Source organism: Homo sapiens, chromosome 1 (genome assembly GCF_000001405.40).
Source record: "Homo sapiens chromosome 1, GRCh38.p14 Primary Assembly".
NCBI lineage: Eukaryota > Metazoa > Chordata > Mammalia > Primates > Hominidae > Homo > Homo sapiens.
In genome coordinates, this window is record NC_000001.11 from 67,050,575 (window position 1) to 67,068,467 (window position 17,893).

The following is a 17,893-nucleotide window of genomic DNA, read 5'->3' on the forward strand; positions in this document are numbered from 1 at the left end:
GGTAGTTAAAATAATGCTATTCTTCCATTATGGAAATTCCATACAAATTAATTTATGGTTAAACCCCTGCTTCTCTCTAGAAGCAATTCCTACTTGAAAGCCTACAACAGTTGCTTTTAAAAAACTACTAGAAGTGAGAAACATTAAATTAACTACAAAACTTTATTCTAATTATGCAAAACCCTAAGCTGTAAATATGTCAGTTTTTAATAGAAAAAGGCTTCCTTCTCATTTTTTCACTAGTCTGACCTCCCTTCCCACCCCCTAGACCACCCAAAAACCATCTATGAAAATCTTACCCCATGAAATGCCTTGACTGTCCTTTTGTGGATGTAATTTTGTCTTCATCTAAATTCCCAGAGCATTTTGCTTGTACTAATCAAACATACAGCCTCTTGCAATATAGTTATTTCTGAATATATCTTATCTCACTCCAAAGTGCCTTATACTTAGCTGGCAATCAAAGATAGGTGTGAATGAATGGTTGGATGAGATGGATGAAAAAAAGCAAACTCTACACAAGCAGCACTTTGCAGAAGGCCTGCATTTCTTTCCTGGTGGGTAATGAAATGGAAAAAAATGTCCCACCCATGATAAATCTGACTTCCTTGGAACCCTCTTCAGAGATATCATCTCGGTCATTCTGTCAGGTTTCTCGGGTTTTAAAGGAAGAAATGAAAAACACCTTGTCCTTGATGCTCAAAAATCTCTCCATTCTATTTTACAATGCCAGGGTTTTAGCTTGTGTGGTAGTGGTGAAGCCATGGGGTTTCTGTTAAATGTTTTCTCTATTTGTGTCATTTTAATACCACACACAACCGATATGTACACTACAATAAGAGCAGAAGCCAGAAACCGGGAGGTTAGAGGGAAAGACAGTGTTACCATGGAGAGGAGAGCTATTGCTTCTTTCTGAAAATAAGTATGTTGCCTCTACAGTTACATGCCATGTGTAAGATATTAATAATATTTTTATCAGGGTTCTAGCTGATGTTACCTTACTTCACATTAAAAGAAAAACTGCAAAAGTTCTTGTGCCTACCCTCTAATTTTGCTGTGTGGAAGTTGCCTAAAATATTTATGAACTATACTAAAGAACTGAAATCCCAGAAGCCTAGTATATATCTTCACTATTGTGGCTCTAGAAAAATAATAAAAATTTCCTATCATAGCATTTTATAACATTTTAAGACTTCTAACATCAAAATGAGGGGTAAAAAAACAAAAACAAAAAACTCCTCTTTCTCTTCAAAGAAAAGAGCATAAACTATAAACTAAAACCTTTGGCACCACTTTCATTATTTAGTAGTAATAGAAGCTTTCTGGTCCTTTCATTTTTTTCCAGAATCAATAACAATGTGTTAAATATTTGACATTCAAGTACAATTTTAAGAATACATTATATTAACCTCACTAGTAAAATAAAGTTATCCATACTTCAGTTTCTTTGTGCTGAACAGTCCCGTGATTTGGTTCCCAAAATATAGTAGAGGTAGTGGAAACGTCTAGAAAATTTAAAAAGGGATAACAAAACTCAATAATAAAGATAGCTAAAACAAGGTCCTTTCAAACAGAAACAATTTTGTTTATATGATCAAAATTTTTTCCACTTAAAACGTAAAATTAGTTATCATACACAATTTTGACACCCAAACACCCAAACAAAACTTATGCTTGGATAAACAACATTACTATAGCAGAAAGAAAGGGAGGAAGGCAGGGAGAAAAGACAGAAATATGAATATGATCAATGTGAGACAGAAACATCATTTGCTGTAAAATATGATAATGTATTAGAGCCCATGGCTCTATTGTCAGCAGAAAAAGTAAAGGCATTTCATCTTCGTTTGGAGTCAAGCAGAGGCAGACAGTATAAAATAAGCCCAAAGAATAATGAATGCAGGATACACTGGCTAGATTAGATGGATAGAGAAACTGCAAAACTATTGTACTCTCAACAAGTGTGCATTAATTAAAAACAGAAGAATATTCCTAGGTTATTTTTTCTCTTAAGTTTAAAGAGACTGTAGGCCTTCTTTGACACATATTACTACTTTTATTCTTTACATTCATTATAACCACTCTAGACTGGGCAATTTTGAGGCTGCAATTTTTAAATACGCAAGGCACTGATAAAATATGTTAATACATACTGACTTCATTTCACAAAATAAAGTATCGCTTTTCTTCTTTTACCTTTCGAGGTACATTTCTGTCAAGGTCAGGAAACTTGACTACTCTGAGCGCCTTTCCCACCCAGAGAACTGCCACTGTGGCCACCATCTGTAAACAAGAGAACACAGATTCACTGTTCTACACATAAAGACACACACAGAAGTTCTAACAACATAAACCACGTAATGGTGAGGATTCCAACTAACCTGGCCAAGTCCAACACATAGTGAGGAGGGAAATCTACAAAAAGGGCAAAGAAAAAAACAAGATCAGAACAAACCTAACTTAGCTCCGTGAATTCAATTTGCACATCGGCAACGTTAATAAGGCATTCCGATACAAGCCACATCAACGTCCGCCCCTAAATCAAACAAAAATCTTGGGAGAAAACTCTCTGCCTGTTGGTTGTCAGTCCACCCCGCTGATGTAGCCTCGGGCGGCCGCTTGTCCCATCTTGTCCGAGTCTACAGTTTCAGTCCGCTGCCTGCAAAGGATTTCTCAAGGCAGTGCAGATACAGATCTCTGCAACGATTTCACACACCTTAAAAAAAAAAACAACCAACTTCTGCCTCTGGGTCCCAGTGTTAGCAAGGGAATAATTGTCTGCTGGGTTGAGGATGCGTACGTCCCCAGAGGCTGTCAGCGGGTGCAGGGGACACTGAAGCCCCGGCCCCCTGTCCAGGCTGCGGAGGAGGGAGGCTTCCCTCGCTCTCCTCCCTGATCGACAGGCATAACGGCTCAAAAGTCACCAAGCAAATCACTTTGCTCCATCTCTCTGAAGGGCAGGGTTTTCGGGGCGGTGCGCCCAGGGCATGGCAGGCGAGCCCCAAATGTGCCGGGCCGGCCGGAGCTCCGCGCAGGGAGCGGACCCCTGCCACAGGCCCGCTCGCCAGGCCGGCTCCGCTGCCCGGGCCGCGCGCGTCAGCCGCCCGCCCTCCCCAGCTCCCGCCCAACTTTGTTCGGCTTTAACTTTGGCAGTCAAAGTCCAGGGAGCCGGCGCCGCGCCGCCGCCGCCGCCCGCTCCTCCTCCGCGGCCTGGGCCGCCGCCGCCTCGGCCCTACCTGTAATTGGTGAGCACGCTCTTATTCACCACCACGATCAGGAAGGAGCTCACGCCGTAAAAGCCGGCGGCCAGCAGCTTCAGAAACACGGTCAGCGTTTCGGCCGACGCCATCCCCAGCTCCTCCTCATCTCGGAGTGTGGAGGATTTCGCGGGGGCTTCTCCTTTAACCCGAGCATGCTGACGTCTATGAACTTCCGCCATGGCTGCCGCAGCAGCGGTGGCCTGGCGGCGGGGCCTAGCGGCTCGGGGGCCTGCAGCGGCAGCTCCCAGGGGACTCCAGGAGTTGGGGACCGCAGACTAGGCCAGCTGCGCGCTCGCCGCCTCGACTCCCCGCTTGGCCGCCGCCTGTCCCCGCCCAGGGGCAGGGACGCCGGGGTTCACACCCCTGGAGACTTTGCTCGGGCATTGTGCAACGCGGGGTCAGAGAGTAGGGCCGCGCCGGGCTTAGCCTGGGCAGGGGTTGGAGAGAGCCTGGAGAAGGGGCAGTGGCGACCCCCCTGCCCGAGGCGGATAAGGAGAAGCCAGGGGAACTACATCGAGACACCAGAGCGCCGGGCGACAAACCACAGACTCCGGGTGACAGTCGCCCTGCGCCTGCGCACGAGCACGCGCTGGGTCTCTCCGCGGGGCGCGTACCTGGGGCGTGGGGAGTCTGGTGGCAGAGGGGCTGGAAGGCCGTATTCTCCGGATAACTGCCGCAACTAAGTGCAGACCCTCCTCCCCTCTGTTACAGGTGGCCGGCCAAGTAGTTACAGTACACTGCGTCTAGACTAATTCTGAATGCTCTTTTAGTCTCTCTTGCAGGGGGTAAAAACCCTTCAAAAGTATCAGATGTGGATCAACAGTAAACACTCAACGAAAATTTCATTCCGCAATGCCTCAGGCTTCTTACATTTTCTGAACCCAGAAAACACCAAACAATACTTTTCAGATTGAGAAGTTTCGTTTGTTTGTTTTAAGAAAAATGTTGACATATCCCAAAAAGTAGCAAGATAAGCAGCTTGGGGATTGGGGAAAGCACAAGGTGTTTGGAGCCTAAAAGACTTGATTTCCAATTGTAGGATTCCTAGAAATGACGACCCCCCCCCCCCCCACCAACACACTCACTCCTTATTGTGTGTCTTGGACCAATTAGATGACCTCCCTGAACCTGATCTCTGTGGATGTGTAGCTAGCAAAGAGCTAGTTTTCGGTAAATGGTAGTCATTATTGTATAACAGAAGCAAATCATTATGATCGGTTTAAGCAAAGAAATTACGTATTGAACTTTAATAGATTAGGAAAGAAGAACTTTGAATTATTTTTCTAAGTGCTTGGTCTGTATCTTTTTAAATTTCTTTTTTTTTTTTTTCTTATTTTTATATTTTGGTAAACCAGGTATAGTGGTTCACACCTGTAATACCAGCACTTTGGGAGCAGGTGGAATGCCTGAGCCCGGGAGTTTGAGACCATGCTGGGCAACAAAGTGAGACCCTCTCTCTACAAGAAAATAAAAAAATTAGCCAGATGTGGTGGCGCACGCCTGTGGTCCCAGCTACTCAGGAGGCTGAGGTGGGAGGATGGCTTGAGCCCAGGAGGTCAAGGCTGCAATGAGCTATGATCATACTACTGCACTCCAGCCTGGGCAACAGCACAAGACCATCTTAAAGAAAGAAATAAATTGTGGCAAAATATACAAAGTATAAAATTTATCATTTTAACCCTTTTTGAGTATGCAATTGCATGGCATTAACTGCATTCACATCGTTTTGCAGCCATCATCACTAATCCATCTTTAGAACTTTTTCACCATCCCAAAGTGAAACTCTTTCCCCTTTAAACAATCACTCCCTGTTTCCCTACTTCCTTCCCTCTCTGCTGTTAACCAGTGTTCTACTTTCTGTCTCTGTGAATTTGACTACTCTAGGTACCTCATATAAGTGGAATCATGTAGTATTTGTCCTTTCGTGATGAACTTACTTCATTAACGTAATGTCTTCAAGGTTCAGCCACGTTGTAGCATATGTTAGAATGTCCTCCCTTTTTAAGGCTGAATAATATTAAATTATATGTGTATAATTGGTTTATATCTTTTGAGTTACTTTGAGAACACCTATGTTCTTCAAGTGTTTCTTAAAAAACTGGTACACAGGATGAGGTTCTTAACATAGCCTACAAGGTCCTAGATAATGTGGTTCCTACCCACATCTCCAGAGGCACTATTCACGTTTCCCTCCCCTAAGGTGCAGATAAATCAACAATGTGGGTTCCGGCTTCTGTGTCTTTACTCCCATTATTCCCTCCATCTGGGCTGCTTTTTCTCTTCCTCCTCTCACCCAGCTCCTGAAAAACTCTTACATTTCCTTCCGTATTTTGGCAGAACATTACCTCTTCTCTGGGCAGCCTTCACACTGCCCCCCACTTCCCTCTACATAATTGATCTCTCTCCTTTGTGCCTCTCCTACCGCATCTTTATATACCCCCTTTATAGAGTGTCCATCTGCTGCTGCTGCTATAACAAAATACCTGAGACTGGATAACATATAAAAAATAGAAATTTATTTTCTCACACTTCTGGAGGCTGAGAAGTCCAAGATCAAGGTGCCACCTTAACCACTGCATCCTCTGAAGGGGAAGAACACCATGTCCTCACATGGCAGAAGGGACAGAAGGTCAGAAAGGGACAAACACTGTGTGAAACCTCTCTCATAAGGCATGAATCCTACTCACAAAGGCAGAGCCCTCATGACTTAGTCACCTCCTAAAGGGCCTGCCTCTTAATAATATCACATTGGTGATTAAGTTTCAACATATGAATTTTGGAGGACACATACAGACCGTAGCAAAGGGGCTCTGCATTACATGTTTACATATCACTCTCTTCCACTAGACAGTTGCTTCTTGAGGACAGTGGCAGGCAAGGGTGCCTAACACAGTTTAGATATTTTAGTTGATTGAATCAATGGAAACAAGGAAAATGATTAAATTTCTTCCTTGACTGCTAGCTTCAAAAGGAAAAATAACTAAAACATTGTATTTTAAGAAACATCCTTGCAGAAAAAATATTATAGAAGTAACAATGACCCTCATAATAAAAAGCAAATATATACATATATACACATTTTTACACATTTTAAAAAACATACCTGGAATAGAACCAGAGAAGAACACTAATCCTCAAGCCACACACTGCTGCTGACACTTAGTAGTTTTGTGACCTTGGGCAAATTACTAGACATCACTGTGCTTCAATTTCCTCACCTGTAAAATGGGGATAACAATAGTACCCACCTCATAGAGTTACAATGAGAATTAAATGAGTTAATGAATGTAAAGTGCTTAGAACATAATATGAGTGTTTATTACAATTACTGTTATCACTAGTATTATTAGGCAGTCTTCCTCTTTTCACTTACTATTCCTTGATGGTCTTTCTGTGGCAACGCTTAAACTTAACCTCATTCTTTTCAAAGGCTTCAGAGTATTCCATTAGTTGGATGCATCATCATGTAACCCTATAGACATTTAAGTTATTGCCATTTTTCAGTGTACAAACAATGCTTGTCCATTCAACTTTGTGCAAGTATAAATTTCTAGAAGTAGAATTGCTTAGTTAAGGCTACTTTTTAATAAAAAAATTAATAGAATTGAGGAAATTCCAAATTAACAACCTCCAAAGAGTTTATACTCATTTTTTATTCCTGCTAACACGGTATGAAAATGAAACCCTCTTTTATAAAGTCAAGAGGGCAGCAATGGAGAACAATGGAAGAGGTGAGATAATATTTCAAGTTCTACCCTGTGGAAGTATGAAATGCCAGGTACAAATTTTCAAAATCATAAGTTATGATTACAGAAAATAAAAATAAGAGTGCTGATCCAGGCAACTACTGTTTTTCTCAGCATGATTACTTTATTAATTAACAAATATTTAAGACCTATCACAGGCCATGAACTGCATTGGATTTTCTCAGCTCCAGTAATGATTTGGTTGCTGTGGACCCCCAGTAAAATGCTATAGAGTTTAATGGAGTCAAGCATTCTCATTAGGTACCCACAAAGATAAGATAGGTGCCATCTCTAGTAGGATTTTTATCTCTTTCCCATGTTATAGGTACTTAGACTTTGGGGTAAATTTTGGTATTTTAGGTCCTCAGATCTGTTTCCTCACTTCAGTAATATTAATCACAGAATTATATATGGAGTATTTACACATCATTGGGTGAAACTGAATAAATATTGAAATATATCTTAAAAAGTTGTTCAAGATAAGAAAGACTGAATTAAATGTTCTCACTTAGGTACAAGTGTACTCTATTTGGAAAGGTCAACTTTGTGGGTTGATAAATTTTACATCTTACTGGGTAGAATTACTAGCAAAAACTCTTCTTAGTATTAAATGATGTCTTTTTATCAAAACATTGCCGTTAGGTATCCTGTTTTTCATTGAGGGAATATTGATTCTGTACACAGTTTTTTAAAACATAGCTTATATTACTTCTTTTCTCCACGCTTCTCCCTTTTCCTTGGCCCACTTGCTCCTCTCATAGTGGAATGTATATAGGCCTCTTTTGTTATCCACCTGCATTCACCAGTTTCCTATTTCACTGCCAACCTAGATCATACCCAGTGACCTGCTGTGCTGCACAGCTGGTTACTTTATAGTCAAGGAGCAAAGGTCATACATGTTTCCTATTTGAACAATACTTTAAAAATTCTGAGAATCAGCATGGAGCTTCTCTTCTCTGCAGTGCCTTGTACTTTTCTACATTGGACTGCAAAGAATGAACTTATTGTCCACTGATGATGAGCCTCACAATGTGCTTCTCTTGTAATTCATTATCTCATTTCACCCTAACCACTGTGAGAAGCAGGTATGGTGAAACAACATATAAACAGGAAAACAAGGGCTGAGAGGGAGTATTAGACATACACTGCATCCCACAGCTCTAAGTGACTGTGTACAGATTCGGTCCTAGGTCTGTTTAGCATTTATTCTGTGTTCCTCCACTGGACACTCCTGCCTCCTTTGGGGCAGATGGACAAGACCTACTTTTACAAGACGTTCTGGCAATGTCAATGCTTTCTTCAATGACCAAGTTTAGTGTTTATCAACCCTATGAAGAAGGATAAGCAGGATAAAGGAACAGTAATGTGTTGAAGTCATAGTCAATCATGACTCATTCACAAATAGCATACCAGACACCAAGTTAGGCACTGGAAATACGAAGACATTTCAAGCTCAATGTATTTACAACTGAACTTTATATAAATCTCTCCCAAATAAGTTGCTTCTTTGAATCTCCAATTTTAGTGAATTGACCTCACTATCCACCTATTTACTGTGGTTCTGCTCTCTGTATAATCACCCTGCAAGCACTCTTTAACCCCCACCAAACTAGTTTTACCCCCTCCAATACACTGAAGCTGTTCACTGCAAAGTTACCCATGACCTCCATGGGACTACACCCAATGAGCACTCTTAGTCCTCCTGCTTGACCACTCTACAGCATTTACATTGCTGATATTCTCCCTTCTTTTAGCTACACCCTCTTCCCTTGACTTCTGAAGCCCCATACTCTCTGAAACCTCTCCTCGTACTCTGGCTGCTCCTTCTCATCCTGCTTTGCTGGTTCCTCCTCTTCTCACAGACCTTTAAAGTTTTACATTCCTCAGGGCTCAGTCTTGGGTCTTCTCTATTCTATGTATTCTTACTAAATCTCATTCCATTCCATGGTTTCAGTTATGACTTATTGTTTGCCAGTGCTTACCAAATCTACATTACTTATGTTCTCTCTAACTCCAGATTAATGTGTCTGACTGCCTCCTGAATATCTTCACTTGGATAACTCTCTGTTATGCTGCTCAACATGCCTGAAACTAATCTTGTCATTATCCCTTTTACTCCAACATTCTGCTTCTCTATTGTTCTTCACTGTATCAGGTAATGAATCCTGACAGTTGAGATCCTAGTTGTCTTATTTTGCCATCCAAAATGCTTACTACTTTGCATTTATCAGATCTGAACAACATAATTTAATCAATGTGTTGAACCAGTTTATTTTGTATGAGAATATTAAGATGATCAAGATCTCTGTGAACTATATTATGGCAAAGAGTAAAAGATTGGATGTCAATCCAATGATGCTATACTGCTGGCCCTGACATGTAAGAGGTAAACTGTTTTAGTTGGACCCTATAAATTAATATAGAGACAAAACATTTGCCATGTTAATAGCTACACACTAGGTGTCAGGAAATGTCATGGTGATTTGCCCTAGTAACACTACGTCTGGAGCATCAACTAACATTGGAGTCACCTCCTGATTAAGTTTATAACCACACTCAGTTATTTGCTAAGATTTCTCTTCTGCATTGGACAAACAGGTGACTTAAATGGAGATGTGATAGGATTCATCCATCTTTCAAGTCTTTGATGATGGCACTAATCTCTGCAACTCCTCTAAAGATGTGGCATATCTTTTTTTGTACTGTCCTGAAAGGGAAGGAAAGCTCCAGAGGCTTCCTCTTTCTACTATCGTGGTCCTTATTCCATGGGTCACACAGACACTGTGAGGATTTTACCAGCTGCCTAGCATATCTATTATGCCTAAACATATGTCTCTTCCAATTATACATTCAAGAGCTGGAGACAAAAACACACAGTGGATTTGTGGACCTACTGAGCACATCGTGTTTCAAAGTTGGGCTAGGTCTCCAATTATCACCTGACTCACTTCTATAGTCTAAATGTGTGTGTCCCCCAACAAATTCATGTATTGAAATTGTCATGTGAAAATAGAGATGAATCTCTAAGTAAAAAGGTTTTGTTTGGGAATAGTATACAAGACGTAGGATTGTAATTTGGGACATATATACAAACCAGGATGGCCTCCAGTATATATGGAGAACAGAGTAAAAGGTTAGGATTTTATTGGAGAAAGAGGAGATTTATGCAAGTTGTTTTAAAAGAAAGTTTTTTGGTGCTGGCAGCATCTTACAAGAGCTGAAGAGTTTTGATATGTGAATGTCAGTGGTCCTTAGGAAGGACTTGTAATCTTGGAGTTTCAGTTAGGCCTTTACATTTAGAATTGGGTTTGTGAGTCAGTGTGTCAGGCATGTGTTCTTGTGTAAGCGGCTAGCTGTCCTTGTGCTGCCAGCTGTCTTTGTGTGACTCACGTAGTAAACTGTGGTTTGGAAAAATGTCCTGTGATAGTTTGTGTTATCAGGCAAACTGTGTGTGAGAGCCCTACCAGCATAGCCTTCTCTAGCTCCATTTTGCTAGGGTTTGACACAAGTGACTACATTTTGAATCTGACAATGTTCACAAAATCCTAACCTCTAAGGTGATAGTTTTAGGAGGTGAGGTCTTTAGGAGGTGATTAGGTCAGGAGGGTGAAGACTTCATGAAAAGAATTGGTACCCTTACAAAAGAGCCCTGAGAGAGACCCTTTACCCCTTCCAACATGTGAGGACACAGCTGGAAGATACCACCTATGAACCAGAAATCAGGCACTCACCAGACACCAAATCAGCCTGCATCTTGATCTTGGATTTCCCAGCCTTCAACTGGGAGAAATGAATTTCTGTTGTTTATAAGCTACCCAGTAATATTTCATTAAAACAGCTTGAACTGACTAAGACGCTACATAAGCCCCCAGTTTAACTGGTAGACTGCAGGACTGTAAGTGCCCAGGAATTAGTATCGGTTGGCCAGTGTTTGATAATCCCACAAAAGGTCTGGGTATTTCCTTTTTGTTACTACACAGTCACCCTAGTAAATGGCAGCAGTTTCCTTTGAGGAAGACTTGAAAGAAGATATACAGTATACACTTGTGGCTATGATATAGGGCCTTCCTCAAAGAGACCTGATCTCTCCTTCAATCCAAGAGATTCTCGTATTGTACATGGCTTAGGTCTGGAAACTGAATAAAAGACCGTGACTGTCCATTTCTGAGACTCCAGTCAGTTTTCTTTGCTGTCAGGTCTGGTTTTTACTGTTATAGAGATTAAGGACCATTTTACTAGGTTGTCTAACTATTTCATTCTTAGGGACATTATAATCAATAGGATACTGCCCAAAATTCCTATGGCTTAAAACTATGATTACCACTATGTTACTGCTTTCCTTTTATAATAAATATGCCCCCTACCTTGTCTTCTGTGGTTAAGTACTACTGCTTGCCTCTGATACTCCAGAACTTCCAACATCTCTATTAAATTGCGGAGCCCATCTCAATACTGAAAATTCCCATTATACCTAGCTTACAGAGCACAGCCACAACAGAACTTCTCAAGGATGTACATGGTCTATACACAAGTGTGTTTCTCCACATGTCAGTTATGGGATTTCCTCTGGATTCTCTCAAGGATGTTGAGGGATGGGTGTGTAGATTACATGTGATAAATATGCTCCACCATTCCTGTTTCCCTAAGCACTGGAATCTTTTCCTCAACATTATAATATGGAAAGTTCTGGTATCTCAACCTCATTAAATAGACCCTGCTGTTGTGCCCAACTGTCAGTAAACAAACATATTAAATTGTTGGAATGCTTCCACCTGCATGAGCCAACACATTAAATCCAGAACCTCAGGTAAGTACACCCTTATCAATACGTTTGGCCGAATCCAGTGTTATATTTCATCTTCCTTAAGCTCCATTCCTATACATATTCCCTAGGTTGATGGTGATATAAATTAGAAAAATCTTGCAATTCTTTTGGTTTACCACCTGCTTCCTCCTAAGTTAAACTTCATGCTGGCTCTTTGGGGTGTGTTGATATCTGACCTAGTTATGGGTATAGTGGATAGAGTTTTCAAGCAAGAGAAGGCTAATCTGTCAGACACAGGAGGCTCCCACTGTCAGAAGAGGCTCAAAATGACTTGACAATTCAAAATTCTTAACCCCATTTAAGCCCAAACAAATGTGTACTCATTCCAAGTTTTAGGGTCATTTTCTTTCCATTTTTTTTAACTTCTACATGAGAGACCTAGCAAGGTTGTAAATTCAACTGATGTTGTAAAAATTGTAAACTGGCCTATTAAGCCTTTTTTTATTTTTAACAATATCAGCCCTGTGGCTGCAAGAAAAGAGAGATTCTTTTAGGACTGCCATAGAATCATTTTGGCACTCTAATGAGACTTTATGAAGAATGTAAAGACCTGAGTTTGTTATTCTTTCTGTATGTGTTTTATTAAACTCAAGAATCTATCCCACACCACAGTCCTCACAGTCATTACTACTGCTAACAGTTAGATGTAGCAGGCCCATGCTCCTAAGGCACTTGGTTCAGTAGGAATATCATCACAATTAACTGCAGGTGACAATTTAATGAATCATGATACTTCTGCATGACATGGGTTACCAGAATTTATTTCACATTAGTGGGGAGCTCAGCACTTCATTCAAGCTCAAGGACAGAACCAAACAAATCCCAAATCCCAACTTCTAAAGTCTATTCTAGAACCAATTTCTATATCAATCAAGGTCCAGTCAAGAGACAGAAACCACACGTTATTTGATTAGAGATAATTTTACATTAAAAAATGTTAACTAGGTAAATGAAAGTTTAAAAAGAAACACTTCAAAAGCCCCCCAAACCATAAGGTATCGTGGAGGTAGCAACTGCAGGAAGGGCTGAGGGAACAAAGGAAAGAGGCTAGAATTATCAAAACTTAGAAACTTAGAAGGGGAACTCCAATAGCTAAAACTCAAGATTTCTGAGGAAGAAATGCTGCTCAAGTGATTCTAGGGTCTTTGGGTTCAAAAGAGGATCCCCATAAGCCTGAAATTCAGACCTTTGAAGAGAGAGCACTATCTGGTTAGTGCTGTGGGCTTAGTGTCACGTGGGGTGGGAGGGGAGTAGGGGCGGGAAGGGTAGGAGGGGGAGTGGAACGGGAACACAGTGTTGTGATATAGGCTGTTCTCTAAATTTAGGGAAAACTGCAAACTGAATTCAACTACTGCTAAGGGAAGAACTTGCTACTTCTGGGACGAAGAATCATTGCTAGACTGAGGCTACTAGGAAGCACATGGGAAAAAGCATTTCTTTTCTCCTCCTCCAGCTACCCAGTATCCCTCTAGTGCCACGTATGGAAGAGTTTACGTAGAGCCAGCCAGCAAAGCAGAAATGTGTTTTGCAAAATACAAGCATCAGCTTCACAAAGTAGAATATAGAAGAGTAGGTTTCCAGCTGAGAGACAATTAATATGTGGCACACCCATTTTAGTAAACATATCGCCATATGCCAAGTTGCCACCTTAGAAGTCTAGTAGTCATTCTCAGAACCTGTCTCTTCTAACTTGCCATATATAAGCTGCTAAATATCTCTCAAGTCTGAATCCACTACCATAGCCATCATTATCAAGATGTCTGCAATGACATCCTAACTAGTCTTCAGGATAGATGACTCTTCCTCTCCAATTCATTCTGTAAAAATGCAGATCTGGGCCAGGCACGTGGCTCGCACCTGTAATCCTAGCACTTTGGGAGGCCAAGGCTGGCAGATCACAAGTTCGGCAGTTTGAGACCAGCCTGGCCAACATGCTGAAACCCCATCTATACTAAAGATACTAAAATTAGCTGGGCATGGTGGCGGATGCTTGTAATCCCAGCTACTTTGGAGGCTGAGGTAGGAGAATCACTTGAACTCCAGAGGTGGAGGTTGCAGTGAGCCAAGATCACACCACTGCACTCCAGGCTAAGCAACAGGGTGAGACTCCATCTCAAAAAAAAGAAAAATGCAGATCTGGTTATTAGAATAAAATCTATCTCCTGCTTTATTTCACAATACTCTCAATTTTGCTCTCCCTTCTCTATTTATGCTTGTTGTTCTTTTACTTTGTCAAACACATCTTCTCATTCTTGGACCTTTGCATCTGTTCATCACTTGGCTTATGGACTAACCTCCCATTCCTACAAACTCCAACTTCCTCCTCTGGCTAACTCCTTTAAGTCTCAAGTAAAGTACATAATCTTCAGTGAGGTCTTCCTGAGCCCCAGATATCATTCCTACATGCTCCTTTAGAGGCATAATAACTGGAGTTACTAATTAAAATATTATTTTCCTCCCCTCTGCCTATTGCCTTACCCTCACCATTCACATTCAAGCCATAATGCATAGGCTGCTGTTTATCCCGGATGGTTGCTATTAGAATGTACTAAGATGTATGATGCAGGTTCTTAGATTCTGTACTTAAAATTTAATAAATATTTAATAAATATTTTAGAATCTTTTTTCCCCTGCCTATTCATTCTAAACTAGATAAACAATTTGGAAACCTCTACTCTCACAGTCTTCGCCAACTTAGTTGATGGACATGCTATCCTTCTAGTTGCTTGGAACAAAAACCTTTAATTCCTCTCTTTCTCTCACAGCCCACATCTAACCCTCAGCAACTCACATCAGTGCTATCTTTAAAATAGATCTATATTCCAACATTTATTACTTCCTGTACTCATGCCTTAGTCCAAGCCACCATCTGCTCTTGCTGAAATATTGTAATTGTCTCATCATTAGTTCCCTGCTTCCATCTTGGACTCATATTTTCCCATCAATCCTTTCTGCACACAGCACTCAATGATCTTTTAAAAGATAAGTCAGATATCACTCCTCTGCTCAAAAACATTCAATCACTTCTGTTCTTTCTCTGAATAAAATTCAATGCCTTACAGTGGCTGTAAGACCTTATATAATCTGGCCTCTTGTTACTTTTGTGATAAGATCCTCTACTCCTCTTCACACCACTTCACTCCACTCCACTGGCTGGTGCTGTTCACTAATGAGGGTGGTAAGGGAGGTGGCAGGGGTGGTGTGGTAATGAGGCTAATTCTGCAAATTCAAGAAGAACTACAAACTCCATTCAGCTACTGCTATGGGAAGACTTTGCTGCTGCTGGGGTGAAGAAATAATTGTTGGAGTAATGCTACCAGGAATCAAACAAGAATTTCCCACCTCCTCCTCTAGCCTCCTTACTGTTCTTAGACTACTTCAACCACACTTTACTTCAGGGCCTTTGCATTTATTATTATACTGCCTGCCTGAAACACTATTTGCACTTATTATTATACTGCCTGCCTGAAACACTCTTTCTACAGATGGTTCACTTCCTCACTTAATTCAGGTCTTAACTCAAATGTCTCCTTATCGAAGTGGTCTTCTCAAAACTGGAAAAAGAAATGAATGAACTAAATAAATGAAGAGCTATACTATTCATTGATAGAAATGCTCAATATTGTTAGGATATTAATTCTCTCCAAATGTATCTACAGTTTTAAGGTAATTCCTATCAAAATTCCAGCAAGATTTTTTATAGATAATGACAAGATTATTCTAAAATGTATATGAAAAGACAAAGAAAATAGAATGATCAAAAAATTATAAATAAGAAGAAAAAACTTGTAGAACCCACACTACCCAATTTCGTGAGTCACTATAAAGCTACAGTAATTAAGACTGTGGTACTAGCATAAGGATATTCATATAGATAAGTGGGGTGGAATAGAGAACCCAGAAATAAATACACAAATATGGTTGCCTAATTTTTGACAAAGGCACACAATTTCAATGGAAAAAGAATAGTCATTTACATAAATAGTGATGGAATAGTTGGATGTTCATATGCCAGAAAGGAACCTCAGCATATACTTCACAGCTTATATAAAAATTAACTAAAAATAGATCATAGGTCTCAATGTAAAACCTAAAACCATAAAACTTCTAGAAGAAAACAGGAGAAAATCTCTATGAATTTGATGATGAATTTTGTGTTTTTTCATTAAAAAACATGCTGATATGATTTGGCTGTGTCCCCACCCAAATCTCCTCTTGAACTATGGTTCCCAGAAGCCCTACATGTTGTGGGAGAGACCCAGTGGGAAGTAATGGAATCATGGGGGTGGCTACTTCCATGCTGCTCCCATGATAGTGAGTGAGTTCTCACAAGATCTGATGTATAAGGGGCCTTTCCCCCTTTTGTTTGGCACTTCTCCTTGCTGCTGCCATGTGAAGAAGGATGTGTTTGCTTCCCCATTTGCTTCTGCCATGATTGTAAGGTTCCTGAGGCTTACCCAGCCTCTGTGGAACTGTGAGTCAATTAAACCTCTTTCCTTTATAAATTATGCAGTCTTGGGTATGTCTTTATTAGCATGTGAGAACAGACTAGTACAGTAAATTGGTACCACAGAGAGTGGAGCACTGCTGTAAAAATATCCAAAAATGTTGAAGTGACTTTGAAACTGGGTAACAAACAGAGGTTGGAACAGTTTGGTGGGCTCAGAAGAAGACAGGAGAATGTCAGAAAGTTTGGAACTTCCTAGAGACTTGTTGAATGGCTTTGACCAAAATGCTGATAGTGATATGGACAATGGTCCAGGCTGAGGTGGTCTCAGATGGAGGTGGGGAACTTGTTGGGAACTGTAGTAAAGGTCATTCTTGCTATGCAAAGAGACTGACAGCATTTTGCCCCTGCCCCAGAGATCTGTGGAACTTTGAACTTGAGAGAGGTGATTTAGGGTATCTGGGGAAAGAAATTTCTAAGCAACAAAGCATTCAAGAGGAAGCAGAGAATAAAAGTTTGGAAAATTTGCAGCCTGCCAATGCTATAGAAAAGAAAACCCCATTTTCTGGGGAGAAATTCAAGCTGGCTGCAGAAATTTGCATAAGTAACGAGGAGTCAAATGTTAATCACCAAGACAATGGGGAAGACGTCTCCAGGATATATCAGAGACATTCATAGCAGTGACCCCAGCCCCCACCATCACAGGCCCAGAGCCTAGGAGGGAAAAATGGTTTCATGGGCTGGGCCCAGGGCATCCCTACTGTGTACAGCCTTGGGATATGGTGCCCTGCATCCCAAATGCTTCCGCACCAGCCTTGGCTAAAAGAGGTCAATGTACAACTCAGGCCATTGCTTCAGAGGGTGCAAGCCCCAAGCTTTGGCAGCTTACACATGGTGTTGGGCCTGTGGGTGTGCAGAAGTCAAGAATTGAGGTTTGGGAACCTCTGCCTAAATTTCAGAGGAGGTATGGAAAGGCCTGGATGTCCAGGCAGAAGTCTGCTGCACAGGGGAGCCCTCATAGAGAACGTCTGCTTAGGGCAGTGCACAAGGGAAAGGTGGGGTTGGAGCCCTCACAGAGAGTACCCACGAGGGCACTGCCTAGTGGAGCTGTGTGAAGAGGGCCACTGTCTCCAGACCCCAGAATGGTAGATCCACTGACAGCTTGCACTGGACACCTGGAAAAGCCACAGGCACTCCATTGCAGCCTGTGAAAGCAGCCAGGAGGGGGACTATAACCTGCAAAGCCACAAGAGTAGAGGTGCCCAAGGCCATGGGAGCCCACCTCTTGCATCAGCGTGACCTGGATGTGAAACATGGAGTCAAAGGAGATCATTTTGGAACTTTAAGGTTTAATGACTACCCTATTGGATTTCAGACTTGAATAAGACCTGTGGCCCCTTTGTTTTGGCCAATTTTTCCTGTTTGGAATGGGTATACTTATCCAATGCCTGTATCGCCCATTGTATCTAGAAGTAACTAACTTGCTTTTGATTTTACAGGCTCACGGGTGGAAGGGGCTTGCCTTGGACTTGGACTTTTGAGTTAATGCTGGAATGAGTTAAGACTTTGGGGAACTGTTGGAAGGTCATGACTGTGTTTTGAATTGTGAGGACAT

At 41.3% G+C, this 17,893-nt stretch overlaps 1 protein-coding gene across 9 annotated transcripts in view, besides 2 other annotated features; it reads right to left on the reverse strand.

Annotated features, from left to right (window-relative positions):
* Positions 1-3,574, reverse strand: part of SLC35D1 (solute carrier family 35 member D1) — an 81,173-nt gene extending 77,599 nt beyond the window's left edge. For all 9 annotated transcript variants that reach the window (XM_047415662.1, XM_047415665.1, NM_015139.3 and 6 more), the window contains exons 1-4: positions 3,237-3,574; positions 2,382-2,415; positions 2,197-2,283; positions 1,438-1,505 (exon numbers count right to left, since the gene is read on the reverse strand). In XM_047415662.1, the coding sequence (XP_047271618.1) occupies positions 1,438-1,505; positions 2,197-2,283; positions 2,382-2,415; positions 3,237-3,439 (392 nt within the window). In that variant the 5' untranslated portion in view covers positions 3,440-3,574. The remainder of the gene's footprint in view (positions 1-1,437; positions 1,506-2,196; positions 2,284-2,381; positions 2,416-3,236) is intronic.
* Positions 2,989-3,198: a silencer, noted in NCBI's record as "silent region_977". NCBI's record gives its function as "represses an Ori minimal core promoter by ATAC-STARR-seq in GM12878 lymphoblastoid cells {active_cell/tissue: GM12878}" and the evidence as "EXISTENCE:reporter gene assay evidence [ECO:0000049][PMID:35858748]".
* Positions 3,489-3,678: a silencer, noted in NCBI's record as "silent region_978". NCBI's record gives its function as "represses an Ori minimal core promoter by ATAC-STARR-seq in GM12878 lymphoblastoid cells {active_cell/tissue: GM12878}" and the evidence as "EXISTENCE:reporter gene assay evidence [ECO:0000049][PMID:35858748]".